The 12959-nt window shown below is 39.2% G+C and overlaps 1 protein-coding gene across 5 annotated transcripts in view; it reads left to right on the top strand.

Annotated features, from left to right (window-relative positions):
• The window catches only part of SPAST (spastin), a 94082-nt gene extending 83709 nt beyond the window's left edge, over window positions 1-10373 (top strand). For all 5 annotated transcript variants that reach the window (NM_014946.4, NM_199436.2, NM_001377959.1 and 2 more), the window contains one exon: window positions 7110-10373. In NM_014946.4, coding sequence (NP_055761.2) covers window positions 7110-7232 — 123 coding nt within the window. In that variant the 3' untranslated portion in view covers window positions 7233-10373. The remainder of the gene's footprint in view (window positions 1-7109) is intronic.

Below are 12959 nucleotides of genomic sequence, written 5' to 3' on the forward strand. Positions count from 1 at the left end.
TATTTTACAATGATATTTTCTTTGTCTTCTATATTGTAAGACATATATAAGACATACATATATGAATGTGTGTGTGTGTGGTTTTTTTTTTTTTTTTTTTTTTTTTGAGACAGTCTGGCATGATATCGGCTCACTGCAACCTCCACCTCCTGGATTCAAGCTATTCTCCTGCCTCAGCCTCCCAAGTAGCTACAGGCATGTACCACCAAGCCCAGCTAATTTTTGTATTTTTAGTAGAGAGGGCATTTCACCATGTTGGCCAGTCTGGCCTCAGACTCCTGACCTCAAGTGATCCACCCAACTCGGCCTCCCAAAGTGCTGGGATTACAGGCTTGAGCCGCTGCATCTGGCTGTTTTGTTTGTTTGTTTGTTTGTTTGTTTGTTTGAGACGGAGTCTCACTCTGTCGCCCAGACTGGAGTGCAGTGGTGCGATCTCAGCTCACTGCAAGCTCTGCCTCCCGGGTTCACGCCATTCTCCTGCCTCAGCCTCCCTAGTAGCTGGGACTACAGGCGCCCACCACCACGCCTGGCTAATTTTTTGTACTTTTAGTAGAGACGGGGTTTCACCGTGTTAGCCAGGATGGTCTCTGTCTCCTGATCTCGTGATCTGCCTGCCTCAGCCTCCCAAAGTGCTGGGATTACAGGCGTGAGCCACTGCGCCCGGCCTTTTTTTTTTTTTTTTTTTGAGACACAGGGTCTTGCTCTGTTCTCAGGCTGGAGTGCAGTGGTGCAATCGTGGCTGACTGTAGCCTTGACCTCTTGGTCTCAAGCAGTCCTCTTGTCTCAAACTTTTTAGTAGCTGGGACTACAGGCAAGTGCCACAACGCCCCACTAATTTTTTAATTTTCTGTAGAGATGGTGTCTCTCCCTGTTGCCCAGGGTGGTCTCAGACTCTTGGCCTCAAGTAATCCTCCTGCCTCAGTCTCTCAGAGTGCTTGGGACTAATTTTTTTTAATGGATTTTTCTAGTTGATTAGAAGCTAGAAAAAATTAACTTTGCTTCATTTCAAAATATGGAAACCTATGAAATAGTCAAAATTTTTTTTGGTAATAGACAAAACATATATACATAAAGTCATTTTCTATCAAATCATATTACATAAATACCAAACAGAAGAAAATTACAGGCCGGGTGCGGTGGCTCACGCCTGTAATCCCAGCACTTTGGGAGGCCGAGGTGGGCAGATCACTTGAGGTCAGGAGTTCAAGACCAGCCTGGCCAACATGGTGAAACCCTGTCTCTATCAAAAATACAAAAAAATTAGGCCGGGGGCGGTGGCTCACACCTGTAATCCCAGCACTTTGGGAGGCCGAGGCGGGCGGATCACGAGGTCAGGAGATCGAGACCATGCTGGCTAACATGGTGAAACCCTGTCTCCACTAAAAAATACAAAAAAATTACCGGGGCGTGGTGGCGGGCACCTGTAGTCCCAGCTACTTGGGAGGCTGAGGCAGGAGAATGGCGTGAACCTGGGAAGTGGAGCTTGCAGTGAGCCGAGATCGTGCCACTGCACTCCAGCCTGGGCGACAGAGCAAGACTCCATCTCAAAAAAAAAAAAAAATAGCTGGGCATGGTGGCACGTGCCTGTGGTCCTGGCTACTTGGGAAGCTGAGGCAGGAGAATCACTTGAACTTGGGAGGCAGAGGTTGCAGTGAGCCAAGATTGCCCCATTGCACTCTAGCCTGGGCGACAGAGTGAGACCCAGTCTCAAAAAAAAAAAAATTACATGAAACTTGTGGGGGTTTATACAATAAAAATAACCTATAACTATACGTTAATCCTTTAATAATGTTCTATTTTGTTTTTCAATAACCTTTATTTTTTTAATTAATTTCTTTTTTTTGAGAAGGACTCTGGCTCTGTCACCCAGGCTGCAGTGCAGTGGCACCATCTTGGCTCACTGCAGCCTCCACCTCCCAGGTTCAAGCGATTCTCCTGCCTCAGCCTCCTGCGTAGCTGAGATTACAGGCATGGGCCACCACGCCCAGCTAATTTTTTTTTTTTTTGTATTTTTAGTAGAGATGGGGTTTCACTATGTTGGCCAGGTGGGTCTCGAACTCCTGACCTCAGGCGATCGCCAGCCTCGGCCTCCCTAAGTGCAAGGATTACAGGCGTGAGCCACCATGCCTGGCCAATTTATTACCGTTTCTTAATATGGAAGACCTCCTTATGAGATGCTGAAGCATTTCATTTGAAAAAAGTTGCATGTAAAATATAAAATTGGGTATGCAGAATGGTCATAACTCTGTGAGCAAAATTTTGAAATCAGGCTTGAATTACAGTCAGCCTTTTCTATCCGTGGATTCTGCATTCATGGATTCAACCAACTGCAGATCAAAAATACTTGGGGGAAAAAAGCATCTGTGTTGAACATGTACAGACTTTTATTCTTGTTATTATTCCCTAAACAATATAGTATAAAAACTATTTACATTGCATTTACATTGTATTAGGTGTTATAAGTAATCTAGAGATGATTTAAAGTATACAGGAGGATTGTGTAGGTTGTATGCAAATACTGCACCATTTTACATAAGGGACTTTAAGCGTTTGCGGATTTTGCTATCTATGGGGGAACCAATTTCCGAGAGATACTGAGGGACAGCTGTATATTTGTAACTTATTTTTTATTTCCCTAATTGCAGCAGCTGTTGAGGGGACAGTGAACTGTTAACACAGATAACAAGTGTATTCAAGTACATTTTGGAGTTTGTTTGTTTTTTTTTTTCAGGCTTTTATTCGCCTGTCGGATGAGGCACCATACTTGAATTTTTTTTTTTAAGAAAGCTTTTAGTTTTCTTTCTTTCTTTTTTTTTTTTTGTGAGATGGAGTCTTGCTCTGTTTCTAGGCTGGAGTGGAGTGCAGTGGTGTGATCTCAGCTCACTGCAACCTCCGCCTACTGGGTTCAAGTGATTCTCCTGCCTCAGCCTCCCGAGTAGCTGGGACTACAGGTGCACGCCACCACGCCCAGCTAATTTTTTTTTTTTTTTTTTTTTTTTGTATTTGTAGTAGAGACAGAGTTTCACCATGTTGGCCAGGATGGTCTCGATCTCCTGACCTTGGGATCCGCCCACCTTGGCCTCCCAAAGTGCTAGGGATTACAGGCATGAGCCACCACGCCCGGCTGAAAGCTTTTAGTTTTCTAACTTATTTAATTTAATTTAATTTAATTTATTTTTATTTTATTTTTTGGGACAGTGTCTCACTTGGTTGCCCAGGCTGGAGTGCAGTGGTACAATCATGGCTCACTGCACCCTCTAGCTCCTGGGCTCAGGCAATCCTCCTGCCTCAGCCTTTTGAGTTGCTGGGACTACGGGCATGTACCACCACACTCAGCTAAATTTTTAATTTTTTGTAGAGATGGGGTCTCACTATGTTGCCTAGGCTGGTCTCAGATTCCTCAAGCATTCCTCCCACTTGCACCTCCCAAAATGCTGGGATTACAGGTGTGACACCGTGCCAGACTTGAAATTTTTAATCCCACACCTAAAAATATAATTTTATCCACCATTTTTTAAAAGTCATAACATTATTTATTAAAAATTTAGATGGTAAAACTAAAAATTAAAGCTTAATAAAACTACTGAGTGATTTACAAGGAAGAATATTACTGGTCCCTTTTGTGAGCATCCCATTAATTATATATATTCAGGTTATATTGTTACAATATTTGGTTCTACTGTATACTTTTTTTTTTGAGACTGAGTTTCGCTGTTGTTGCCCAGGCTGGAGTGCAATGGTGCAATCTCGGCTCACTGCAACCTCCGCCTCCTGGGTTCAAGTGATTCTCCTGCCTCAGCCTCCTGAGTAGCTGGGATTACAGGCATGCGCCACTATGCCTGGCTAATTTTGTGTTTTTGTAGAGACGGGGTTTCACTATGTTGGTCAGGCTGATCTGGAACTCCCAACCTCAGGAGATCCGCCCACCTCGGCCTCCCAAAGTGCTGGGATTGCAGGTGTGAGCCACCATGCCTGGCTCTACTATATACTTTCATTCAGTTGTTTCTTTTTAATCTAGTGGTTTTGGTATTAATAATTTGATAATGACCTTTAGCTGTTATTGCTTACTTATGAGTTAATATTTATAAAGCACTTAAAGTAGCTGGCACGTAGTAAACACTATGTAAAGATCCATTAAATAACTTTAAAAAATATAAAACTGATAGTGGCATTTTATTATAGAGATTAAGGTAATCCATTCTCTCATTTCCATTTATGGGATGAGACGTAAACACAAGTAGTTTGCTCTCTAAAACTGTATACTAGAATTTTATATACCCATTATTTGATGCAACTTTAATACCAAAGTGTATTGTCAGTTACCGGTGAATATATATAAATTTAGGTAAGGAAAACCCAACTTGGTCGCACACAGTGGCTCACGCCTGTAATCCTACCACTTTGGGAGGCCGAGGCAGTTGGATCACCTGAGGTCTTGAGTTCGAGACCAGCCTGGCCAACGTGGCGAAACCCCGTCTCCACTAAAAATACAAAAATTAGCCGGGCGTGGTGGCACATGCCTGTAATCCCAGCTGCTCGGGAGGCTGAGGAAGGAGAATTGCTTGAACCTGGGGAGGTGGAGGTTGCAGTGAGCTGAGATCGTACCACTGCACTCCAGTCTGTGCGACAGGAGCGAGACTCCATCTCCAAAAAAAAAAAAAAGAAAAACCCAACTTATCTTTTACAGTTTATAATAGTAGAAGTTCAAATAATTGGTTTGGAATTTCTGTATTTTTAAGGTTAGTACTAAAATTGTTGGTTATAAATTGGGGTACAATATACTTTGTTTTTTAAGTACCTTGTGTATCTAATTTAACTTTAAGTCCTTTATTATTTTGGTTTGATAAGACAACTTTTCTACTTATTTCCCCCCTTAACTGAACCAGCTACCATCTGCCTTTTTCCTGTTGTATACATTAGTCTCTTACGTTAAAATATCATATAAGTTTCATATATATACACATATCAAACTATAGACTTAAAGTACAATTACATCAACATCTTTTAAAACCTTAATTTCTGGCCAGGCGTGGTTGTTCATGCCTATAATCCCAGCACTTTGGGAGGCTCAGGCCATTGGATCCCTTGAGCTCAGGAATTCGAGACCAGCCTGGATAACATGGTGAAATCCTCATCTCTACAAAAATTACAAAAAGTTAGCTGGGCGTGGTGGCGCACACCTATAGTCCTAGCTACTTGGGAGGATCTCTTAAGCCTGGGAGGCAGAGGTTGCAGTGAGCCGAGATCATGCCACTGCACTCCAGCCTGGGTAACAGTGAGACCCTGTCTCAAAACAAAAATATTAATTTCTATAACAAATAAATTTTATTTAGTAATATCATGTTTAATACCCATGTTACATTCATTATTCTTCTACACTTTGGCCTTTAGGAAGAGGCAGTGTGTGTGTTACAGTTAAATAGGAAACAAGTAGGGTTCATATAGTGCTTATGGGGTTTTCTTTGGTGGGGGGTTGCTGGGTTTTTGGGGTTTTTTTTTTTGAGACAGGGTATCACTCTGTCTCCCAGGCTGAAATACATTGGCATGCTCATGGCTCACTGCAGCCTCAACCTCCCAGACTCAAGTGATCCTCCCACCTCAGCTTCCCTAGTAGCTGAGACTACAGGCGTGCGCCACCATGCCTAGCTAAATTTTGTACATTTTGTAGAGATGAGGCTTTGCCATGTTGCCCAGGCTGGTCTCTAACTCCTGGGCTCAAGTGATCCACTTGCTTCAGCCTCCCAAAGTTCTGGGATTAACAGGTGCGAGCCACTGCAGCCAGCCTATATTTTAACTATATGTTTTTTTCTTTTTGGCTAAAATTTTTCAGATTAGTTTACAAGTTACAAGTGTAGGTGATATCTCATGGAGATATCAAAGATGATATGAAGTTAGATTGGGTTTTTAAGAGTAGTTTTTAAAATACGGATAAATACCAGTTGTTGGAGTTTTGTTTAAAGTTCTTTAACTTCTTATTTTTGGGCCAAAATACAGGTATACGCTAGAAATGATTTTTAACACAGGTCATTTATGCCAAACTGCATTTTGCCTTAATTTTTTTTTTTTTTTTTTTTTTTGAGAGGGAGTCTCACTCATTGCCCAAGCTGGAGTGCAATGGCACGATCTCGGCTCACTTACAACCTCCACCTCCCAGGTTCAAGCGATTCTCCTGCCTCAGCCTCCTGAGTAGCTGGGATTACAGGCACCTGCCTGGCTAATTTTTGTATTTTTAGTGGAGACGGGGTTTCACCATGTTGGCCAGGCTGGTCTCGAACTGCTGACCTCAGGTGATCCACCCGCCTTGGCCTCCCAAAGTGCGGGGATTACAGGTGTGAGCCACCGTGCTTGGCCAAAATTTTTATTAATTTTTCTATTGCCTGGACTCTGTGAACCTATCCATTTTGCCTTTTAAAAATACTTAGGTGTAAATATAGATATTCATTAACTCAGCATTGTTTTAATCTATATTTCCAAAGGCAATTTAAAAGATCAGAAAATAAGACCAAATTAATATAAAAATGCATACTTTAGGCTGGGCAAAGTGGCTCACGTCTGTAATCCCAGCACTTTGGGAGGCCAAGGTGGGCGGATCACCTGAGGTTAGGAGTTCAGGACCAACCTGGCCATCATGGCGAAACCCTGTCTCTACTAAAAATACAAAAATTAGCTGGGCATGGAGGCATGTGCCTGTAATCCCAGCTACTCGGGAGGCTGAGACAGAAGAATTGCTTGAACCTTGGAGGGGGAGGTTGCATATCTGAGTGGTGAAATTGTGATTCTTTTTTTCTCTTTGTCTGTATTTTTGAACTTTTCTATAAATGATTGTGTTTTGTTTTTATATTGGAAAAATATTATGCTTTCAAATGTTAATACCTATGAAACTAAACACAAGTAATAAATATATTAGTATAGCATTTATTAAGGTTTCTTGTGTAGCAGATCAACATAGAAAATATATTTAAATGGCTGACATAATTTTCTAAGAATACATACACGTATATTTTTTATAACATTAAGAAACAGCAGCATCATTACTTTAATCCATCATTTCGTTAACCACCATATACCTGTTGATCATTTGTATTGTCATGTGCTTTTTAAAAATCTAGATGAGAAATATTCGATTATCTGACTTCACTGAATCCTTGAAAAAAATAAAACGCAGCGTCAGCCCTCAAACTTTAGAAGCGTACATACGTTGGAACAAGGACTTTGGAGATACCACTGTTTAAGGAAATACCTTTGTAAACCTGCAGAACATTTTACTTAAAAGAGGAAACACAAGATCTTCAATGAACGTCATCGGCTACAGAAACAGCCTAAGTTTACAGGACTTTTTAGAGTCTTACATATTTGTGCACCAAACTTGAAGATGAACCAGAAAACAGACTTAAACAAAATATACAATGCAAATGTAATTTTTTGTTGTTTAAGGCCTTGCCTTGATGGTCACAGTTATCCCAATGGACACTAAGTTAGAGCACAACAAAACCTGATTCTGGTCTTCTTTACCAATATAATCATAATGTAAATAATAATTTGTATATTGTGTTGCAGATGAAAGTATTCCAGGAACAGTGAATGGTAGAAGACACAAGAACATTTGTTTGTTTGTCTTCTGATGTTTTTTCTTAAAATAGTAATTTCTCCTACTTTTCTTTTCTACTGTTGTCTTAACTACAGGTGATTGGAATGCCAAACACTCTTAAGTTTATTTTCTTTTTTCGTTTTATAAATTCAGTGTGCCAAATGAAACTTTTTTCCTAAGTAACTGTAATAGGAAAAAGTTTATTTTGAGAGTTTCTTCTTCATAAATCTACAGACATTAAACAATTGTTGTGTTCTTTTTACCTTTTATTTTTCTATTACCTTGCTACCAAACAGTTTAGATAGCAATATAATAGCAAAAAAGCAAATATGGTAAAATAGAGAAGGTTTGAAGGTTTGAGTTACTCTGTCATATAACATGTAGATCAGTCTTCATGTGACCTGCAGTATTTTTTTTTCTAATGTATTTGTCAGAAATCTGTTGTAGACTGTTAACTTCTTCCTGATGGAATTTATTTTCTGCAAGAATTATTCTGATATTTAAGAGAGCCAATTTTAACTGCTGTGAAAATGTTTCCAGTGCAAGAGAAGGGAAATACTAGGAACTAAGACATTTCTAATTTATTGCTTATTACTTTCTTAATTTTACAGGATAATTATAAGCAAGTGGAACTACCATCTTTTATTCTTAATAATTATTAATCCCTTCAATGAAACTTTAAAAAAACTGAATTTTTATACATGGCATACATTTTTCTAGTTCCTTCTGCTTGCTTTATTAACTCAAAAGTTCTAGTTCTAGTCTGTTGATCTGCCTTTTGTTCTCCCAAAATGTACAGTAATTCCATTTGTTTGTATAAATATGCCTGGATTTTCATTATAAAAATGTCATTGTAGGGAGTAGAGACTCATATCATGGCCTTTTAAATATTGTAATAAAGGCAAATAGATATTTGCCCTTAGTTTACTGGTTAAAAGTTTGTTTACAGAACTTTTCTCTGGTGCTTAAATGATGCTATGTAAAATGTCATGAGTGGAAAGAATATTTGTAGTAGTAACAAGAATTTTTCATTTAGGAAAGATTTCTTAGGTTTTGAAAGAATACATTAAAATAAAAAACTTGCCCCTACTAGGTAAGAACTTTATAATGAAGACATACATTCTTCTTAATTTTACTCTTGCTCTTGTTAAAGATTTGTTTGAATATAGAAGATGCATGATTTCTGGGTTTTTTTTTTTTTTTGAGACAGAGTTTCGCTCTTGTTGCCCAGGCTGGAGTGCAATGGCGCAATCTCGACTCACCACAACCTCCGCCTCCCAGGTTCAAGCAATTCTCCTGCCTCAGCCTCCCGAGTAGCTGGGATTACAGGCATGCGCCACTACCCCAGCTAATTTTGTATTTTTAGTAGAGATGGGGTTTCTCCATGTTGGTCAGGCTGGTCTTGAACTCCTGACCTCAGGTGATCCGCCTGCCTCGGCCTCCCAAAGTGCTGGGATTACAGGCATAAGCCACTGCGCCCAGCCAGAAGATGCATGATTTCTTAGGATCATATGCTGTTTGTAGCCATAAGGTAAATCATGTCTCTTCCAATCATGACTTTGGAACTCCCTGAATAATAAAAATGAGAGTTGAGATAAATAGGGGAAAAAAAATTTTTTTCAAGCCAGAGCTATGCATATGTTAGGTGATGGGTAGTATCCCTTTAAGGTCTCAAACATTACAACATCAATTATGAAATACTGATAACGAAAGGTAGTAATGAAATATATATGATGAAAAGAATTGAGAAGTTCTAAATTAAGACATTTCAGTTAAGCTCATAAAATTTCATTGTTTTCATTTAAAAGATTAACGTTATTGATACTTGGATAACTGGCTAATCATATTAAAGGACTATGTGGTTCCAGCTCAACTTTTAATATATTGTCTCCTTTAAAACTATCATGGTTATAATTCTATTGGGAAAGACTTTTAGATAACAAAGATTTCAAATGTTAAAAGAGATAAAAGTCAGGTTAATACTATCTTAAACACTGAGTCAGAAAATCATTACTGTATAGAAGTTGCTTTCCTGATCAAGTCTGAACTTCAGCTAGTGCTAGAGAACTATTTTCTATGACTTAACTCTAACCAAGTTTTATTTTAAGCTGTTTCTTTGATAGAAGGGCCATGAAAATAGAGTAATGATATAGTAGGAGATAAGGGATTGGTTTGGTCTTTTTCAATAAAGATAGAAGTTGCTGAAGTTTTCTGAATTAATAATGACTTAGATTGTGACCTTTTAGATTCGGTGTTGAGCTCTGTGTTGTATTACTTCCTAAAAGATAATGCTTAAACATTAAGCATTAGTGTGCTCTTCATGTTAATATGGCAGAGTTTTGTAAACTAAATTAAAACTTACTGATATATTGGACTTTGAGCCAAGGGAAAGAATGAGTACTATCTTTCCAGATATCTTAAGGGTAAAAGCTTATTCTAAGACAGTCTGTCCATTGAGAATATTAGATTTCTGACTTGCAAATATGTTTGTACTCCAGAAGAATTAGAGGAAAAGCAGATACTAGAATTCTAATTTAATTACATATACAGCCGTCTTTGTTTATAGTGTAGAATTCTTTATATTTTGTACAAAAACTAATTCTTTTGGTAAAATGAACCATTTACAGTTCGGTTTTGGACTCTGAGTCAAAGGATTTTCCTTTAAATGCTTGTCTCAATTTTAGTCTGGTCTTTTGTACTTTTCTTCAGAAGAAATGAATTAAAGGGTACAGTTGCATAAAGTGGGTTTTTATCCTAATGTATTGGAAATAAATGATAAACTTTATTTTGTCTTTACTTTTTTACTTTAAAACTTTTTGATATTTTAGGGGTTGGAGTCTGATAATGAAGGAGTTGTGTGTATTGGACTCTTAGTAACAATTATAAACGCTTAACAAAATATAGAAAGCAATGATTGGGTGGCTCTGCAGAGCAATCAAAACAAGGTAGAAACTGCAAAGTCCTATAATGGAAGAGATTCAGGCTGGGTGTGGTGGCTCATGCCTGTTTGGGAGGCCAGTATGGGAGAATCGCTTACACTCAGGAATTCAAGACCAGCCTGGGGAATATAGGGAGACCCTGTTTCTGCCAAAAAAAAAAAAAAAAAAAAAACTAAACTAAAAATTAGCCAGGTTTGGTGGCCTACACCTGTAGTCCCGGTTACTCAAGAGGCTGAGGTTAGAGGATCGCTTAAGCCCGGGAGGAGGAGGTTGCAGTGAGCCAAGATCACACCACCACACTCCAGCCCAGGTTACAGAGAACCTGTCTCAAAAAATAAAAAGTAAACGAGATTCACCTTAACCAGCTTTTACCCATAGGGCAATTTCCAGTTTGTGCAGTTCACTTGGATATAGAATTCAGGTAGAATGTGACAGTTTTGACAGGCTGAGGAATCATTTGGGACTTCTAGAACACCTGAAAATTAGAAGAGAAATTTTGGGAAGGAGAGTGCCTCAGAAAGTAAGCTCTAAAATCTGCCTACATATTCCTTTCAAATCCTTGGTGGATTCCAAAATTGTGCTGGTGCAGTGTGATTATTTAAAGGAACCCAGGAGAAAGCAAGTTAAAGTCTAAAAAACTCAGCAGCGATTGCAGCTGCCCAAGGACAGAGAGTTTGAAATTCAAGTTCCACTAAGAAGGACTGAGTAAATACTTGGTGTTTCCCATTGAACCCCCAAAATGCCACGCCTTAAGGAAGAATGACAGCATCCTAGAACTAAAGGCTGTGCTTCAGCACTAAGGACAAAATGGAAATAAACTTACTGTAATGAAGCTTAAAATCAAATCTCACAGCATCAAGGTTATCCATTAGTAATTTAAAACCAGAACAAAACACAGCATTCTTGAGAAGAAAACAATTCAGTCATCACAGCATATATCCAAAGCTCAGTACATAATAAACAGTTACTAAGCATGCAAAGAAAAATTATGTGATCCTTTTGACTCAACTTCCCTGATGGAAAAAAAAAAGTGGTCCATACCATACTCAACAGAAAATATACAGAAGCAGATGCACAAGTGACCTCTATGAGAGTGATTTTAAAATAGCGTTAAAATATGTTAAAAGAATTTACAAGAAGAGATAATGGGTGAATAGATAGGGAGTTTCAGCAGAAAAATAAGAATTGAAAACCCAACAGAGGCCAGGCACCGTGCCTCACGCCCGTAATCACAGCACTTTGGGAGGCCAAGGCAGGTGGATCACCTAAGGTCAGGAGTTCAAGACCAGCCTGACCAACATGGTGAAACCCGGTCTCTACTAAAAATACAAAACTAGCCGGGCATGGGTGATGCATGCCCATAATCCTAGCTACTTGGGAGGCTGAAGCAGGAGAATTGCTTGAACCTGGGAGGTAGAGGTTGCAGTGAACCAAGATCATGCCATTGCACTCCAGCCTGGGCAAGAAGAGCAAAACTCCATCTCAAAAAATAATAATAATAATTGGCTGGGCGCGGTGGCTCACGCCTGTAATCCCAGCACTTTGGGAGGCCGAGACAGGCAGATCACAAGGTCAGGAGATTGAGACCATCCTGGCTAACATGGTGAAACCCCGTCTCTACTAAAAATACAAAAAATTAGCCTGGCATGGTGGCGGGCACCTGTAGTCCCAGCTACTCGGGAGGCTGAAGCAGGAGAATGGCATGACCCCAGGAGGCGGAACTTGCAATGAGCCCAGATCGCGCCACTGCACTCCAGCCTGGGCAACCGTCTCAAAAATAATAATAATAATAATTAGAAAATAATAAAAAATAACCCACTGGAAAGTCTTGTAATGAAAACTACAGTATCTGAAATTAAAAATTTAAATGGATGGACTTAACAGTAAACTAGGCACAACAGGAAAGACTGAAAAAGACAAGTAAGTATCAAACCAAAGCAGAGAGAGAAAGAAAAAAGAAATAGCAGAGGTTTGAGACCTTTGGAACATTATCAGTTCCTGTAATTTGAAGTAAAGAAGGAAAGGAAGAGAATGGGGCAAGAGAAATCTTTGAAGCAATGATGCGTGAAATTTTCCCCAAAGTGTTGAAAGACATCAACGTACAGATCTAAGAAGTTCACTGAATCCCCAAGCAGAATAAATACAACAAAGACTACATCTGGGTACATCACATTGCCAAAAAAAAAAAAAAAAAAAATCTTAAAAGCAATCAAGGTGGGGAGTGGGAAGGAGTAGCATTACATTCAGATAAACAAGAGTGATGGCTAACCTCATCAGAAATGATGGAATTAAGAAAATGATGGAATGACATCTTTAAGGTGCAAAGATGAAACAAAGGTTAACTTAAAACTCTGTATCCAGTTAAAATATCCTTCAAGATGTTAAGGCAATGGCCAGGCTCAGTGGCTTATGCCTGTAATCCCAACACTTTG

Source organism: Homo sapiens, chromosome 2 (assembly GCF_000001405.40).
Source record: "Homo sapiens chromosome 2, GRCh38.p14 Primary Assembly".
In the NCBI taxonomy this organism is placed as follows: Eukaryota; Metazoa; Chordata; class Mammalia; order Primates; family Hominidae; genus Homo; species Homo sapiens.